This window comes from Homo sapiens, chromosome 6 (genome assembly GCF_000001405.40).
Source record: "Homo sapiens chromosome 6, GRCh38.p14 Primary Assembly".
Lineage (NCBI taxonomy): Eukaryota > Metazoa > Chordata > Mammalia > Primates > Hominidae > Homo > Homo sapiens.
In genome coordinates, this window is record NC_000006.12 from 152,862,649 (window position 1) to 152,881,263 (window position 18,615).

Below are 18,615 nucleotides of genomic sequence, written 5' to 3' on the forward strand. Positions count from 1 at the left end.
TCAAATCCAATATGCTTACATGAGGTCTGCCTATTTGAAAGGTTTTTCATCCACAATAATAATAATTAAAGAAACCCTCAAATCAAGTGCAATGAAGGGTTTCTTTCCATGGAAAAAATTCTTTAAACTACACTCTAAATTCCACAATAAAGAAATGTCTCATTTCAAAAATCAATATTAGATTCTTCTCACAACAACAAAAGTACATTAATATTATGGAAAGTGCTCTTCAGAACTATCAGATAGCAGAATCCTGGCATGTCATTGTTATTCTTTCTCCTTTGTCATCTTTAATGAGAAGTCCTTTTATATCACGATGTTATGTTTTAGAATATTGAAAACATATCAGACAATAGATAAAATATCATCTGGCTCTACAGTGAATCTTTTAGAATTTTTATTTTTAATGTGCTTAGATTCTGCATCTGTTAATTCCCAGTTGATTACTCAGAATTGTTTCTCCTGCCAAATACCAACTACCAAGTCTTTATTTTTATTTCTAAGTCCTGACGGTTCCTCTCCTAATAAACTAAGAATATGAAAACCTACAGAAGGAATTACAATTGCCCTACCTTACAGGATTGTGTCAAAGTTAATGAAATAATCAACTATTAAGTTCATTAATAGTTCATGACTTTCATAAGACAGGTATGACAATAAATGCAAAGTTTTACTCATCACACCAAAGTGTCATCATTTATGCTTTGTCAAAAATTAAAAATATGGCATAAAAACTTTCCTGAAATCAGCTGATTGTTCCTAAAAGAATGACTGTTGCTTTCATTTCTTGTACTGAAGTATATCCATTTACTATGACCTTTAATAATGGAGACTTTTTATTGGGTCACATAATATACTAGTATGTGTCATAATAGGCCCATTCTTGGCGCAGTGACTAGATGGAGCACATTTAGCTTGGCTACTGGACAGCCTTCATCAGCGACTCATGATGCTCATCTCTACAGCCCAGAGGACATTTAAAGAACTAAATAAAGATATAGAAGGCGGCCCCTTCTCTCATCAGTAAGCCTTACCATCTAAGGGACACTCTGGACATCGGAAGATTCCAAGTCGTCTCTTATGGTATAGAAATATTTGTAGAGAATTTTCGAAAGACGGATGATTTATTTCTGTCTTTCTCTCAAAACACCCCGGGGCCAGTACTTCATCACTATGTCTAGGCCTTGTATTGCCTAAAATAAGCATCCACTTACAAAATGGTGGTTTCTTCCTTTATTTGGAAAGGAAAATTCTCTGAAACAACTTACCAAAGGCTTCATCTTCAATGGGGCCATCTATTAGTGACATAGTTGGGAAAAGCCAATTAATGCAAGGATGGTGCATAACTGCAAATAAGCGCAATACAATATTATACAATACCTTGAATTACTCATTTCAATTGGCCACTTGAGGGCGCCAAAGCAGAAGCAATAAGAGTCCTTAGTCTTAGCACTTCAGAGAACTGCTTGCTTTCTCTACATTTCTGTTTACACAGATGGTCTTGCTTCAAACACCACTGCATGGTAAACAGTATCTTTAAAACTGGCAGATATGATAAGATGAATATTTTCTCATTCCTGCTTTTGGTTACTTCTAAACTGTGCAACAAAGCTAAGAGTTTGTGTTATCGCATGGAAACACATTCCTTTATTCTCAGCATGAATTTCGCATGAAACCAAGACTTCCATCCAAACACACTGAACATAATTTAATTCATTTTCTTTCATACTTCTTACTTCACCTTCAATTTTTTATGACTATTTCTTTCCCACTAGCATTTTTCTACTACTCTGACTCCATTGTACAATCAAGGATTTAAATTCCATTTGTTACATTAGTCTCAAAGCCATTTAAGTAACGACATAGCAGTCTGCTTGCTAGAATGCTATGGTGGATGCTTTAGTCTTCCTTCTTTTCAAGAGCCATGGTGCTTTGAAGCTTTAAGCTCTTATGTCTTTATGCTCTTTATGTCTTTATGATCTTTAAGTTCTTATGTCTCCATATTTTGATTATTTATTTACATATCTTTTCCTATTAAACTATGAGTTCTTTGAGTGCAAGAAATGGGCCTTAAATGTACCTTTCTGTCTTCTGTGTAAGCTCTCAATAATAGCTGGCTAAGTGAGAAAAGAAGAACATGATTCCTGATCTCAAGTAGAATTTAGTCTGATAGGGAACGTGAGTCAGGCACCTTGAAAAGTTAAATAATATTAAAGAAGTTAATACAATGTCAAAATATGAGTTGTCTACAGTGGTGTTGTCCAACAGAAACATAACTGAAAGTTTTCTAGTAGCTACATTAAAAAGGTAAAAGGTAACAAGTAAAAATAATTTTAATAGTATATTTATTTAATCAAGTATACCCAAAATATTATCATTTCAACATTTGACTGATATAAAATATTTATTATGATATACTTCACATTTTTTGTCTTTGAAATTCAGTATGTATATCTAGATAGATAGAAAGTTGATGGATGGATGGATAGATAGATAGACAGATGGATAGATAGATAGATAGGTTTTTTTGTTTGTTTGTTTGTTTGTTTGTTTTTGAGATGGAGTCTCCCTCTGTCACCCAGGCTGGAGTGCAGAGGCATGATCTCGACTCACTGCAACCTCCGTCTTCTGGATTCAAACAATTCTCCTGCCTCAGCATCCCAAGTAACTGGGATTACAGATGCCCACCACCACGCCCAGCTAATTTTTGTATTTTCGGTAGAGATGGGGTTTCACCATGTTGGCCAGGCTGGACTCAAACTCCTGAGCTCAAGTGATCCACCCTCCATGGCCTCCCAAAGTGCTAGGATTACAGGCATGAGCCACTGCACCCACCCTGAAATACAGTGTATATTTTACACTTAAAGGACAACTCAATTCAGACACAATATTTTCATCAGAAATACTTGATCTGTGCTGAGATTACTTACAATTTACAATTGAAAAGTAGATTCACATGCTCAAGTTGTTCCAAATACATTTTAAAACTTTTCCAATAATTTGAGTACCAAAACATTATTTTTGTTTAATATTCATATGCACATTGACAAAACTGGTTTGTTTTTTAAAAAGAATTGTTTAGACTTTGAAGCAAAATCATATACCTTTAAAACTATAGCTCCCCAAGTTAAGTAAACTCACTAACTGTTAAGTCAACCGGTTATTAACATTGAATTCAGACTATTGTGTAAATTAAAAATCAACTCCTAATCAATCAATATCAACAAAGCATTCTTCATGTTTTTCATGTAGTTTGTGCAGCCAATTTATATAAAACTGTCAATTACAATTAAAATCTTCTGAATACTGATTTATAAATATTTGTAAAATCTTTAGTATTGTTTAGAAGTATAAAAAGGTTTAATTTCAACAGAAGTTCTCATGCATGTCTACCTAATCACAAATATGCTTTTTCTTTCTATTGGAGCTTCAAATTTATATTATTCACATGTAGTGTGGTATCAGTGACAGAATATAAACCACATTGTCATTTCTTTTGTCTTTAATTATTAAATATATGGTAAACATTTATTAGTTTCAAGAAAATCTTGAATTGGAGTTAGCAGCACAGGAAATTTTGTAAAAAGTCTTCCATGACTTAATGCATGAGCTTTGGTCAAAGAACTTAAGATCATTAGAGTCCTAATCTCGTGTTTCTTTCAGCAGTCCTCTAAACTTGCAGTGATTCCTAGCATACACCCATATGTACTGAACAAGCATACCCATTAAATATTTCGAGGAGTCTGTCTGAAAAAACTGCATACATACTGTATGTATCATAGCACAGAATGAAAGAAGAAAGAAAAATTCTCGTTTTAAAATTCCAGTACACTAGAGCAGTTTCATCACAATAGAAATTATTTTTTTCATAATTAGCTTAAATTCTTCTTTGGAGATATGAAAGAATCAAAAATATCTATGCCGTGCAGTTGTGAAACCACACTTCTTCATATCTTTGGAAGTAAATCCTTTGAGACAAAAGGCACCCACATTGCTAATTGAACACTATCTCTTCTATTGCAAGACTCAACTAAAGTGAAAAGAAAGTGCTTTCAATTTTTCCAATTTGGATTCATTAGATCATTGATACGGTTAGAAGGGTCTTGTATTATGAAGCAACTGTTCGGTTAATTAAGTGTAGATATTTCACTTTTTATAAAATACCTTTTTAAGGCTTTTCTGCAAGATTGGAGAACAGAAGTTCCATATCTGACACAGTGACTCCTTTTACATTCCTTCATCTAAAAATGGCTTTCTTTTTCATACAAATATACAAGCCATTTAATAGCTGGCCCTAGTTACAAGGTCAGATTTACTTAAACATTATAATATTTTCATTGTGATGATTGGACTGTTCATCCTTATTTTTGCCAACTAATTTTTTTAATTCTTTTTTAACTTGTAACTGTTGAGAGGAAAGTTATTATTAAATTCACTGTGTATTTCCTGAAAATACATCTAAATATTATCCACTTTATTAACATAAAATCTTTTTTCACAACAGCTTTGAAAGCTTTTTAGGTTTTGCTCTGCCACAACAAATTGCAATTGCCATTCATCATTGGGACATATCTTCTTCCAATTTCTGTCTCTCACTCTTTCTCTCTCTTCCAGTCTTCTGGGCATAGTGCTAGCTTCTGCAACTCTTGATTTTAAATCAGCAACATGCCTTCATTTTAAATCTAAAAATATATGTCCATACTTACTTTTTAACAAGAAAAATAATTTAATTATACTACAATTAAAATATAATAGATATCCCCAACATAGTACCATAATTATACCTACCTTACAATTAGTTACTGTGACTTTGGCTGTCTGTCTCAACAACTCGAATACATTATACTGTTTTATCAGTGCTTAGAAAACATATTTGGAACTGAGTCAGTTCAGTGATATTGACTAGATGGATGATGCGTTTATCTAGAAATGAAGTCCATACCCCCATCCACCCTCACCTCACATACATTGTGATATAATAATGTTTTATGTGGTACAACAAAAAAATAAAATATTGTCCTACCAAAAAACAGAGTTGTGTTTAATAAAAAATGTTATTTGCATTGCTTCAGATTCTAAATTCGGAGATAAATTAATTAAAACTAAATAAAATAACAAACTCGATGTCTCAGTCATAGGAACCACATTTCTAGTGCTCAGTAGCCTCAGGTGGTGAGCAGCCTCCCAACTGAACAGTGCAGCTGTAGGCTGTGCATTCCCCAAGATTACGGGTTAAACATAACATTTTTGTTGTCCACCATACCCAGCACATAAACAATTATGGATTGAATTTGGTATCCTATTGCCATACATGATTAAAGTGAGAACAAACATGTGTTTGCAAATGCTTCAAGTTCCTAAAGAAGACTTCGCAAAAGAATTGAGACTTTAACTGGTATTAAATATTTAAAGGCAAAAAGCAACAGAGAAAGTGCACTTTAAGCAGCTAAGTAACAAACCAAAACAGAGCACAGATGGGAGAAGAATGAGGAAGGTAAAAATCTAGAACGTTAGATTGAGGTCAGGAGCAGAAAGCCAGAAGTGGACATTAGCCAGTTGGTAGTGCGGGACTTCTAAGAATTGTAAACAGGAAAGTTATTATGAAAGACACATTTTAGGACTTATCACGTTAGAGTGATATTATTCTAAATTTTTTTTTAGGAGGATTCATCTGGCGACTCAGCAGGTTAGTGAAGAAAAAGTTAGAAGAATATTACCCTAAATCACGGTCAGGTGATAAGGGTCTGCATTATGACAGCTGGAACTGAAGTGAATGAAATAAATGTGAGCACCACAAAGGAAGTCTCATCGGGGCTTGGCTGAATATAAAGAGAGGGAGGAATTAAAATGTGTTCTGTTTTTCATGTGGTAAGAAGGGATTGGTTTACAATTGTCCCAATGGTCCTTGTATCCCTGCTAAGGAAACATCATAATTATTTATCTTTATTTCCCTTCCTACCAAATTAAGAAATCAAATTTGAAGAAAAACCATGGCTAATCACATATGTGAAGGAGTCTCTCTGTCGCTCAGGCTGGAGGGCAGTGGCACAATCTTGGCTCGCTGCAACCTCCGCCTTCTGGGTTCAAGCGATTCTCCTGCCTCAGCCTCCCGAGTAGCTGGAATTACAGGCGCGCACTAACGCGTCTGGCTAATTTTTGTATTTTTAGTAGAGACGGGGTTGCGTTATGTTGACCAGGCTGGTCTTGAACTCCTGACCTCAGGTGATCCACCCACCTCGGCCTGCCAAAGTGCTGGGATTTAAGGTGTGAACCACCGTGGCTGGTCTGTGGAGGAGACTTCTGTACAATAGTGCACAGGGAGCTGGAGCGTTGAAGTTTTATGAGCCCACAAGTTATCTGAGGAATAAGGAAGGGGTCAAGAAAAATGACTCAGGAAGTAGTCTTCAAAAATGCACACAGTTCAGGAACTAAAAGAGAAAGGGAAATAAGAAAAGGAAGAGACCCAGAAAAATGTTGTGCTATGGCGGTCCAACCAGGAAAAAAAAAAGTGTCGTAAAAAGGAAAAAATTGAGCTGGGCGCGATGGCTCATGCCTGTAATCCCAGCACTTTGTGAGGCCTAGGCGGGCGGATTACCTGAGGTCAGGAGTTTGAGACCAGCCTGACCAACATGGTGAAACCCTGTCTCTATTAAAAATACAAAAATTAGCCGAGCATGGTGGCAGGCAACCGTAATCCCAGCTACTCTGGGAGGCTGAGGCACGATAATCGCCTGAACCTGGGAGGCAGAGGTTGCAGTGAGCTGAGATCGTGCCATTGCACTCCATCCTGGGAGAAAAGAATGAACGAAAGAAAAGAAAAGAGAAAAAATTGGCTGGGCGCAGTGGCTCATGCCTGTAATTCCAGTACTTTGGGAGGCCAAGGTGGAAGGATTGTTTGAGGCTGAGAGTTCACGACCAGCCTGGGCAACGTAGTGAGACCTTGCCACTACAAAAACTTTCAAAAATTAGCCGGGTGTGATGGCTCCTGCGAGTGTGGTCCCAGCTACTTGGGAGGCTGAGTTGGGAGGATCACTTGAGCCCAGGAGATCAAGGCTGAAGTCAGCCATGATTACGCCACTGCACTCAAGCCTGGGTGACAGAGCGGGACCCTGTCTCAAAAAGGCAAAAACTGTCAATAGTTTAAAAAAGCATTGGTATACCAGTAAGGGGCTTACAACTTTGTTTTTTTAGACTACAGTTTTTCAGTTTGTGGTCTTTTAGCAATATTTGCTGATATTTTTCTGTCCTGGCTAATTTTTTTTCAAATGTAATTCTAAGTACTTATCAATTTGTAAATATACATTGTTCTCTTTCTTAATGAATAAAAGGTAATCTCTCCAACTCCAATCTTAAACTTTTAAGTTATATGAAAAATTTATACATTTTATGTGCTTCATGAAAAAATATGAATTTTTACCATCTACTAGAATTAAAATACCTTAGAAGTAGAAAGTACTTATTTTATTCTCCACACATCCTTAAATAGCCCATGCAATTACAAAGTAGTTAGTAAGTATATGAACTAAACAAAAATGATTCATATATGAGTACCAATATATAAATATATGCATCCTGAAACAGGTTACCATTGACTTCTGAAGAAGAATGTGTAATTCTATCAACCATTCAGGTCTACATCATTTTTTTATTCTTAGCTGTACCACAGGAGACTAAACCAATAAATACAGCAATTTTTAAAATCAATTCACCTGGTATTCAAGGTTTTAATTGTACTTTCTTCTCTTCTATAGCTATTGCTACAAATGTTTAAAGAGTCAAATGAAAAGATTACATTGAATTAAACAGTAAATTCATTTTAAAATACAGAAAAAATACAATACTATTGAAATGTCATATAAATTATTTTACATCTGGTGAAATAAAATATTACAGAATATTATAAATGGAGACACACAAAGCCAGATACATATGTTAAAAAAAAATTATGTATGGACTAATAGATAGGAAATCATGCTAAAATGACCACACCCTGTATGTTTAAGTATGTTGGAACTAGGTAGGGTTTTTTCATCTTTTCCTGTTTTACCAAAATGTCTATATTGAGGGTAACCTTCTGTAAACAAATTTGAATGTATACATTTAAAAACAAAGCTCTAAATAACCTTTCTAGGTTCGCCTTGCTTCTGAATCTTCTGCAGTCTGTTTAAAGCAACTGGCCTGCACATGCTGATGCTCTCACAGATTTAAGAGTTTAAGAAGAAATCCACAAATTCAAGCATATACATCTAATAAGTTAATTGAGTTTTTAATGGCATTTATTTGTATTTTGATAACTAGTTAGCAAATGAAAAGTGCACTGGAAAGAATGCATTAAATTACTTAGGTGAAGGAATGACATACATAAAAATTGTCAAAGGGATGACGGAGGAAAATAAACCAGTTTCATTAAACCAACACCTAACACATGCAGTGAAAAACCCCTTGTTCTGATGGCAATGAACGTTGTATTTCTATCTTAATACTTTGCATTACGACTGTCCAATGCATTGTATAGTTTTCAAGGACCCAATCATACTCTTAAAGTACTTCCTTAATAAGAGGTAAATTATATAATAGTAGAACACAGCTGTGTTTGCTACAAAAATTCAATAAAACAATTTAATAATCTTCATAAAGTATTTATCTACTTGAGTGAATTAACTAAGTACTCAATAGAAATTGCTTTAGTTCTCCACAGCCATTTACTCATGTGGTATATCCTCTGTGCACATTTCTCAAGTGCTCCTCTGAGGTGTGGACAGCATTCCACACACATTGGACAAAGACTGCTGAACCAGCCGAAATCTACAGATGAAGACTCCATAAAAGTAACAAGCAAGGAAAAATAAACTACATGACATGCCTTGATTCCATGTCTCTTTTCGTCATGTTATATATTTTTCTTGTGAAATAAGGTTTGGAAGAATCTGAGGGCCAAAACTGAAACCAAAAAGTACATGGCAAAAAATAACATATAAATAACTCTTAAAATATGAGGGAAAACATAAAAATATAAAAACCAGATGAAGAAAATAGGCAAAGGGCACAAATAACTCCCCTGCCTCCTCACTCCCCAGTTCTCTCTCTCTCTCTCGCACTCTCTCTCTCTCTCACAAAGACATATAAAGAAATGATACTCAAACTTATGAAAAGGTGTTCAACCTCACTTAAACACATGAAAAGATGTTCAACACAAGAGAAACAAAAATAAACAGACATCATGTATGGCATCTATCACATTCTCAAATATCATTACACACTGTCAACAAGACTATGGCAAACGGGTTCTATGGTACATTACTGGTTCTGTCATACATAATTGCATACACACATGCAAAATGGTGAAATCTACATGGAGCAGAATTTAGCAATAACTCACAAAACAACATATCCATTTACCTTTTGCTGCAGCAATCTCATTTTTCTAGAAATTAATGCTAAACGTATATCTCCAACAATACAAAAACATACGAATTAGGGTTTTCACTGTGGCACTATGTCTAAACTGCAAAATACTAGAAACAACCTCATTGCTCATAAATAGGAGAAGAGTTGAATAAACTACATTACATCCACACAATGAAATACTCTACCACTGGAAAGAATAGATAGGTCTGTAATTTTTGATATGGCATGATTTTTAACATACTTATTAAATGATAAAAGCAAAAAAAAGTATGCAACTTTTATTTTAAAAAGAGAAGAGGAGAGATATATATGTATTTACTTCTTTGTACAGAAAAAAACCTGGGAAGGTAGGAAGGAAGTGTAAATCTAAAATTAATGTCATGCACTACCACAAAAGGGTAGGGGAAATGAGAAAATAAATCAAGAGGAGAATAAGATTTATCTGAGCATATCTTTTTATATAAACTTTACTTTTGAACATGTTACTACTTTCACAGTCCCAAAAATAAAACAACGTTCACAAGAATTGGAGAAAAAAACTAAAATAGCACACCAGTCAGAAAAAAATGAGCCTATATAGCTATATCAAATTAATAAAGTAATCATATAGAAAAATATTAAATCAAGTAACTTGATTATACCCTAAGTGGGATATATCCTGATTATTCCCTAAGTGGGATATATTCTAAAAACAGAAAGGGCATATAGTCTAAAGACAGAAAGGACTGCCAAGAAATCATGAACTTTACTTGGTTAGTTTGCTGTTGATGTGATATCAGCGGAGCAATTCTGAAAATATTTTTTGTATTATAGATAAGAGTCAATGGTATGTACGTTGATATTGTCGAACAAGATATGGAAATGGAAAGGAAGAATTCTATATATTGAATGAAAATTCTAGATATCAGTCTGAACTACTCACTCTCAATAGATGGATAATTGACAGGTAGATTTATATGAAAGATTTATAAATAGATTTATATATAGTCTAGAAGCAGTGACACCTGCAGTAGCAATAAGCACATCGGTCAGAAGAAGAAGAGTACAATGAGAGAACAGAACATTTTGTTTTGCCACAAAGTAAGAAAGTGCCCCAAAACAAGATCCAAGGGTTACCATTAGCAAAATGTGGCTGAACTTCAGTAAAAAATAATGATCAAAACAATATATTATAAGGCATAAAATTTTAAAATAAATAGAGTTCTGGGCCGGGCGCAGTGGCCCACGCCTGTAATTCCAGCACTTTGGGAGGCCGAAGCTGGTGGATCACTTGAGGTCAGGAGTTCAACACCAACCTGACCAACATGACAAAACCCTGTCTCTACTAAAAATACAAAATTAGCTGGGTGTGTTGGTACATGCCTATAATCCCAGCTACTTGAGAGGCTGAGATAGGAGAATCGCTTGAACCCGGGAGGCAGAGGTTGCAGTGAGCAGAGATCGTGCCATCGCACTCCAGCCTGGGCAACAAGGGCAAAACTTCGTCTCAAATATATAAATAAACAAATAAATAAAGTTCTGAATGATTGATATTCAAAAAAGGCAGGGAAAGGAAGGAAAGCACACTCTTCTTGACAAAAGAATGACAGCTAATACGTCCAGAAGAAATTCTGGAATTAGAAAATTACTGTTTTGGAATTCCCAGTGGAATCATTGATTCAGGCAACAATCATCAATGTATGCTAAAACCATTGGGTCAAATTTTCTTGTAAAACAGGATATTCATATCATTTAAAGGTCTTACCCCAAAAACGATGAACTAATTACACAGTGTAGAAAGTTGTTTTTATGGAAGAATACCAAGTGATCAAATGTAACAGTAATAGGACAAGCTGATATTATTTGCTTCCTAATGTAACCCACTGGTAAGAACACCATTTCACCTATGACTATTCTTCCCAAAAAATGTTTCAAAGAGAATCTGGTAATGAGGAAACAATCAAAGAAATCCTAATCATAGACATATGTAATTGTGGGACAATGCACAAAACCACTGCACAAAATCAGTGTCACAAAGGGCGTATGTGGAAGAGCCATTCTAGAACAAAGAGTCTAAAGAGACATAACAACAAAACCCAGTATTTGATTGGCTTCTAAATCCAAAATTTAAAAAATAAACTAAAAAGGATATTTTGTGGGAAATTGGAATAGGAGCTTTCACAAAATTATTGAATTGATACACCTGTGATTGCAAAATAATCAATATACTGTCTTAATTATGAGGGAGAGAAAATAAAAGTAATTTAATATAAAATAACATATAAGTCAATATTTTGTTATGAACGTACAAATATATTTGAATTTGAATACATGATAAGACAGTCAGATGTTTGTCCCTGAATACAGACTTATCATGGGTGAAACAGCTGTACATGGAGTCTACTATCAGTGTGCTGTGTTAACACAAGCGCCATGAATGACACGCATGTTACTGCCTTTAGTTTTCGCAGTAGGGAACAATGACTGGGAAAATTCCAAACAAAACACAACACAAACTTCTTTCATTTTACATTGTAGTTGCATTGCTAATAAAAATCAGTAAAACATAAAATCTTGCAAAATATACTCTGCAATTATATATTTAAAATACCTCCGTTCTAGGCTCTGAAAATTATAAAGTTTTCTAAGTACATGAATGTCTGGTGGTGTATTTTTAAAAATTGTACAAAATCAAGACTATTATTTGCTGGGCAAGACAGTCCTCATTGCAGGATGTTGAGCATACCTGGGCCCTTCCCACTATATACTAAAGGTGCCCTAAGGTAGGTGGGAGCCAACTCTGAGGTGGAGATCAATATGCAGGACTTTATTAAAAAGTGTTCTTGGTTTCAACACAGTGGAAGGGAAGGAAGTAAGATTGGGCAGAGAGGGAAATTAGTCTCCATGAAGTCCTCAGATTATCCCATGGGACATTCTGAAGTGAGGAGCCTTCCAGCATGGACAGAGTATTGGGCCAGGATACGCCCAGATCAGTTATTGGATGTGGGCTGCTCTGGGAATAGGGTGGGTTCTTGGACAAGGTGCCTGTTGTGAGCAGAGAGAATCCTGAAGAGAGCTGACAGCTGAGAGCTATCAGACGGCAGCACAGCCAGCAGCTGGAGTGACAATCCTCCACGCCTGAAGGGGGAGCTGGGTACAGATAACAAAGTCCACTATACATTCCTAAGAAGTATGACAATAAAAGTAAAAGCCAATGTTTTAATCTATATAAAATGTAACTGTATTTTCCACCGAAAGTGTAGGACACTCTTAAGATTTTTTTAAATTTTTGTAAAGATGATTTTTTAGTTTCCTTCCCCATCACCCCTTGTACACACACAAACCCACATGCACAATACACACACACCTCTTAGATTTGGAATTGGAACGACATTAAATTCATAAATTAATTGACAAGAAAATTGTCTTCTCATTCGGGAAAATGGCAGAGGTTTTCACTTAATTATAACTAAATAAAATAGACATTAATAGTTTAAAAAACCCTGATAACTGCTAATAAAGGAGAAGTCCCTTAATTTACTGTAAGTTATCTGCAAAAGAATTCAGTTTTTGCAGATTCACCTACTGGCTGAAATTTGTCACCCAAAATCAGTTCTGCACTGTTGCAGACATTGACAGGCACCTGTAGAGCAGTGCAAAATTTGACTCACCAATCCTCACGTTCTCAGCTGAAGGTGAACAGACCTTGCTTTGCCTTTTTGTTTCAGTGCTCATACTGTAAAAAAGTGTCCTTTCCACCGGGCGCGGTGGCTCACGCCTGTAATCCCAGCACTTTGGGAGGCAGAGGCGGGCGGATCACGAGGTCAGGAGATCGAAACCATCCTGGCTAACACGGTGAAACCCCGTCTGTACTGTGAATACAAAAAATTAGCCGGGCGTGGTGGCGGGTGCCTATAGTCCCAGCTACTCGGGAGGCTGAGGCAGGAAAATGGCGCGAACCCGGGAGGCGGAGCTTGCAGTTAGCCGAGATCGCGCCACTGCACTCCAGCCTGGGCGACAGAGCGAGACTCCGTCTCAGAAAAAAAAAATAAAATAAAATAAGTGTCCTTTCCTTGGTTTGTTTAGTGCCACATTGTTGTATTTTTATTGGCGATTATACTGTTTAAAACAGCCCCCAAGCATACTGCTGAAGTGCTATCTACTGTTACAAAGCCAGAAAGCTGTGATATGCCTTATGTAGAAAAATATGTGCCACATAAACTTTATTTAGGCATCAGTTACGGTGTCGAATGCCATGAGTTCAATGCTAATGAATCAATAATATATATTAAACAAGATTACGTGGATATATTGATTTAAAAAGTTGTGATCAGAGGTGCACAGCAACTTAACCTTGTATTTCTCCTTGGAGCAATGATTCAGCATTCACTAATCCAATGTTTGTCACTACCTTATAGGATATAACTTACAACATCTTATGGAATAGAACTACTATGAATAATGATAATGAAATGTATAAGGGTTAGAAAGGAAAGAATGAAACAGTCCTTATTTGCAAATGATATTAGTATTAACATAGAAAATCCAAAATAATCCATAAGGATTATAATTAATAAGTACATTTAATAAGTAAATTAATAAGTAATATTTCTATTTACAAATTTATTATATAAAAATCAATTATGGGGGGAGGGATAAAAGACTATAATTTGGGTTCAGTGTATACTGCTCAGGTGATAGGTACACCAAAATCTCACAAATCACCACTAAAGAATTTACTCATGTAACCAAACACCACCTGTTCCCCCCAAAACCTATGGAAATAAAAAAATAAAAATAAATACAAATTAAAAAATAATTTTAAAAGTCAATTTCATTTCTATGTAACACAAAATAGAAACGTAAAATTTAAAAACACATCACTTATAATAGCGTCAAACAATTACCAATAGTTGGAATAAATCTAACAAAAGTCATGTAAGATCACTACAAAAATAACTATAAGACGTTGATAAAGAAATTTAAAACCTCAGAATCAAAGAGTGTACTATGTACGTGAATTGGAAAACTCAATCATGTTACCATATTGATTCTCTGCAAATTTATCTATAGCTTCAGTAAATTGTCAATCAAAATCCTAGCAAGATTTTTTATAGAATATGTCAAGATGATCTTAAAATATATATGAAAATGCAAAAGTCCAGGAAAAAACCAAAATTGTCTTATGGAAAAAGAATAAAGTTAGAAGAGTTGTGTTATGATAAATCAATAGTTGACTGGTAATATTAACTGGCAATACTAAAATAGTATAAGATTGGTGCAAAGCTACCAAAATAGACTATGAAACAAAACAGAGAGTCTAAAAACAGACCTGCACATATGTGAACACTTGATTTTTGTGAGAAGTGGCACTGCAAAGCAATAGGGAAATGGTATTTTTTTTCAATAGATGGTGCTATTTAAATGTACATTAAAATAGAAAAAAATAGAAACTTGACTCCTAACATTGTACTTTTTATAAAAATCAATTCCACATTTGCTATAGAGCTAAATATAAAAGGGTATATAATAAAGCTTCTGGAAGATATTATAGAAGAATATCTCTATGACCTTATGGTTAGCAAAAACTCCATAATGAAAACACAATAATGCAAAAGTCATAAAATAAAGTAGAGAAATTAAGCTTCATTAAAATTTAATAATTCTGTTTACCAAATGATAAAATTAAGGAAGTGAAAAATTGATCCATAGGTTGGGTATATATATCTGCAATTCATATATTAGCAAAAGGTTGATTTGTAGCTGTAATATATAAGAACTCTTGTAAATCAATAAGAAACAAAATTTAACAGTAAAAGAGAACAGTCAAATGGTCAAAAAACGAAAACAAAATAAAGCAAACAATGAAAATGTGCTTATTTCTCATTTGTCAGCAGGAAAATGCAAATAAAATCACAGTAAATGCCATTACATCTTCACTAGAGTGGCTAAAATTAAAACAACTGATGATAATTGCAGAATAGATGAAATTCTCACAGACTGCTGGTGGGAGTGCAAATTGGTACAATCACCTGTAAGAAGTGTTTATCAGCATCTACCAAATCTGAATATATGCAGGAATACTTACCCTATAACCCAGCAAATCCACAGCCCACTCCTAAATAACCAGTAGAAATGTATACACATATTCCAAAATGTATATAAAAGAACAAATGTCCATAAGCAGTAGAATGGTTAAATTGTGGTATACATGGTAATTGAAAACTATACAGCATGAAAATGGAAAAAAAAAAAAAAAAAGCCCTGGTATTTGAAAAAAAAAAGCATAATAATCTTACAAACATATTATTCAAAATAACAAGATACAAAAACAACACAAGCTGCATGATTCCATTTATTAAAGCCAAACACAAGCGGAAGTAATCTGTGATGTTAGAGGTCAATGTTACAGGTCAGGAGAGTGGTCACCTCTGAGGAGAAAGAAGGGCATGCAATTGGCATAAGGCAGAGGAGCTTCTGAAATGCTGCCTGTATTCATTCCTGATCTAAGTGTTGGTTACTTGAGTTTATTTTCTTTGTAATATGCCATCAATCTATTATAATTTGTACATGTTTCTGATTGTGTTTTGTTTCCATTTTAAAAATTTAAACTAATAATTATTGTTCCATACAAACCATCCTCATCAGTGCCCAGGTCCACACACTTTCTCTTTTTCTGCATACATCCAATTCCAAACATGATACATGTAGTCCCATACAAATATTCTATGCTCAATTGAAAATAAATAATACACTATTGTCTTTTCAAGGAGACACCAACAGTCATGTCCAGTTTCTGGGTTCTGTGCTGAGTTTAAGAGCTCTAGGGGCGTGAATTCTTCTTGGTTAGTTCCAATTGTGGTTCCTCATGGCCCAAGAAGTAGTCAATGGTCCCAATTAATGAGAAATCTTATCATCCCAACACACTCAAAGTACCACCTTCAAAGATAACAATATCCTCATCATAATAAGAGCTTCCCTTGAAAAATAGAGAAGAGGAAGAGCCGCAGAGTGCTGATTGGTCTGTGATACTCATCCCCGTGGGAAGGAAGGGTAATGATTCCTTGCTCTACAGTAAAATGAGGCCCCCAGAGGCAATCTGGTTGGTTACAGTTGTTCTTGCTCTGAAGACTTTCTTGACACACCTGAAGGGACCCTGGGGGTGGGGGAGTGGGGAGTCAGGGGCAGAGGGATGGGGGATGATTCTCTTCTGGGGCTGCATGGCTTTAGGACCTTTCTTCCTTTTGGCATACTTGGAAGAGCTGATGATTGCTTTTGATTATAAGCACTCAAGACTCTCTTTTTAGATTTTGGCATTTCCTAGCAATAAGTCCCTTAAAAATTCAATTTGATGATGAACTTTAATTCATTCCACAAATATTTACTGAGTGCATATGATTGTCTAGGCTTTATTCTAGATACTTGGGATATATCAGGGAACAAAACAAATGTAAATACTAAACCCAAGGAGATTGTGTTCTGGAGGGAGCAGGCTGAGATTCAACAAACAACACAATAATAAGTAAATTATATGCTGTAGAAGGTAATTAGTGCCGGTAATAAAGAAGAAGTAAAGCATGACCTACCATAGAAAGGAAGGTTGGAATTGGAGGACAGCAAGATGGTGGAAGGGGAAATGGTAAAAGTTTAGTATTAATATTGTCAGTAGAGGCCACTTTGCAAAGGTGAAATTTAAGCAAAGACTTGAGTTAGAGAGGGAGTCAGCCAAGCAGTTATCTGAGGCAAGAGAATCCAAAGGAGTGGAAAACATAACAAACATACCCTAAGGGGAAGCATGATTGACCTGTCTAAGGATTGTAAAGGGTCATGGTGGCTGGAGGAAATGAGGGCAGGTTGAACAAGAAGTATGAGGAAGTAGCAAATGCAAAAGAACTGAAACCATAACAAACAGTCTCTTGGGCCACAGCTCAAACAAATTAGAATTCAAGATTAAGAAATGCACTCAAAACCACACAACCACATGGACATTGAACAATCTACTTCTGAATGACTCCTGGGTAAATAATGAAATTAAGGCAGAAATCCAGTTCTTTGAAACCAATGAGAACAAAGAGACAATATACCAGAATCTCTGGGATACAGCTAAAGCAGTGTTAAGAGGGAAATTGATAGCACTAAATGCCCACATCAAAAAGCTAGAAAGATCTCAAAGTGATACCCTAACATCACAACTAAAAGAACTAGAGAGCCATGAGCAAACAAACCCCAAAGATAGCAGAGGCCAAGAAATAATCAAAAGCAGAGATGAACTGAAGGAGATAAGGACATGAAAACCCGTTCAAAAAATCAGTGAATCCAGGAGCTGGTTTTTTTGAAAAAATAAAATAAAATAGACCATTAGCTAGACTAATAAAGAAGAAAAGAGAGAAAAATCAAGTAGACACAACAAAAAATAATAAAGGGAATATCACCACTGACCCCAAGAAAATACAAACAACCATCAGAGAACACTATAAACATCTCTATGTAAATAAACTAAAAAATCAAGAAGAAATGGATAAATTCCTGGACACATACACCCTCCCAGGACTGAACCAGGAAGAAGTTGAATCTCTGAATAGGCCAATAATAAGGTCTGAAATTGAAGCAGTAATGTATAACCTTCCAACCAAAAAAAACAAAAAAAGCCCAGGATCAGATGGATTTACAGCTGAATTCTACCAGAGGTACAAAGAGGAGCTGGTACCATTTCTTTTGAAACTATTCCAAACAATTGAAAAGGAGGGACTCATTCCTAATTCACTTTATGAGGCCAGCATCATCCTGATATCAAAACCTGGCAGAGATACAGCAAAAAAAGAAAAATTCAGGCCAATATACCTGATGAACATTGATGCAAAAATCATCAATAAAATACTGGCAAACTGAATCCAACAACAGCATATCAAAAAGTTTATCCACCACAATTAAGTCAGCTTTATCCCCAGGATGCAAGGCTGGCTCAACATGTGCAAATCAATTAATGTAATTCATCACATAAAGAGAACTAAAGACAAAAACCACATGATTATTGCATTAGATACAGAAAAGGCCTTCAATAAAATTAAACATCCTTTCATGTTAAAAACTGTCAATAAACTAGGTATTGATGGAACATGCCTCAAAATAATAAGAGCCATTTATGGCAAACCCACAGCCAGTATACTGAATGGGCAAAAGCTGGACGCATTCTCCTTGAAAACTGGCACAAGACAAAGATGAACTCTC

General features: G+C 35.3%; 2 long non-coding RNA genes across 8 annotated transcripts in view, besides 1 other annotated feature; one reads left to right on the forward strand and one right to left on the reverse strand.

Moving 5' to 3' along the window:
- Positions 1-13,349, reverse strand: part of LINC02840 (long intergenic non-protein coding RNA 2840) — a 121,122-nt gene extending 107,773 nt beyond the window's left edge. For all 7 annotated transcript variants that reach the window (NR_183504.1, NR_183508.1, NR_183505.1 and 4 more), the window contains exon 1: positions 13,059-13,349. This is a non-coding gene — a long non-coding RNA (long intergenic non-protein coding RNA 2840). The remainder of the gene's footprint in view (positions 1-13,058) is intronic.
- LOC124901439 (uncharacterized) lies at positions 932-5,798 on the forward strand. Its single transcript, XR_007059821.1, has 2 exons — positions 932-1,083; positions 5,662-5,798. It is a non-coding gene; the product is annotated as an uncharacterized LOC124901439 (long non-coding RNA).
- Positions 1,462-1,511: an enhancer, noted in NCBI's record as "active region_25290". NCBI's record gives its function as "activates an Ori minimal core promoter by ATAC-STARR-seq in GM12878 lymphoblastoid cells {active_cell/tissue: GM12878}" and the evidence as "EXISTENCE:reporter gene assay evidence [ECO:0000049][PMID:35858748]".
- Positions 13,350-18,615: the final 5,266 nt, after the last annotated feature.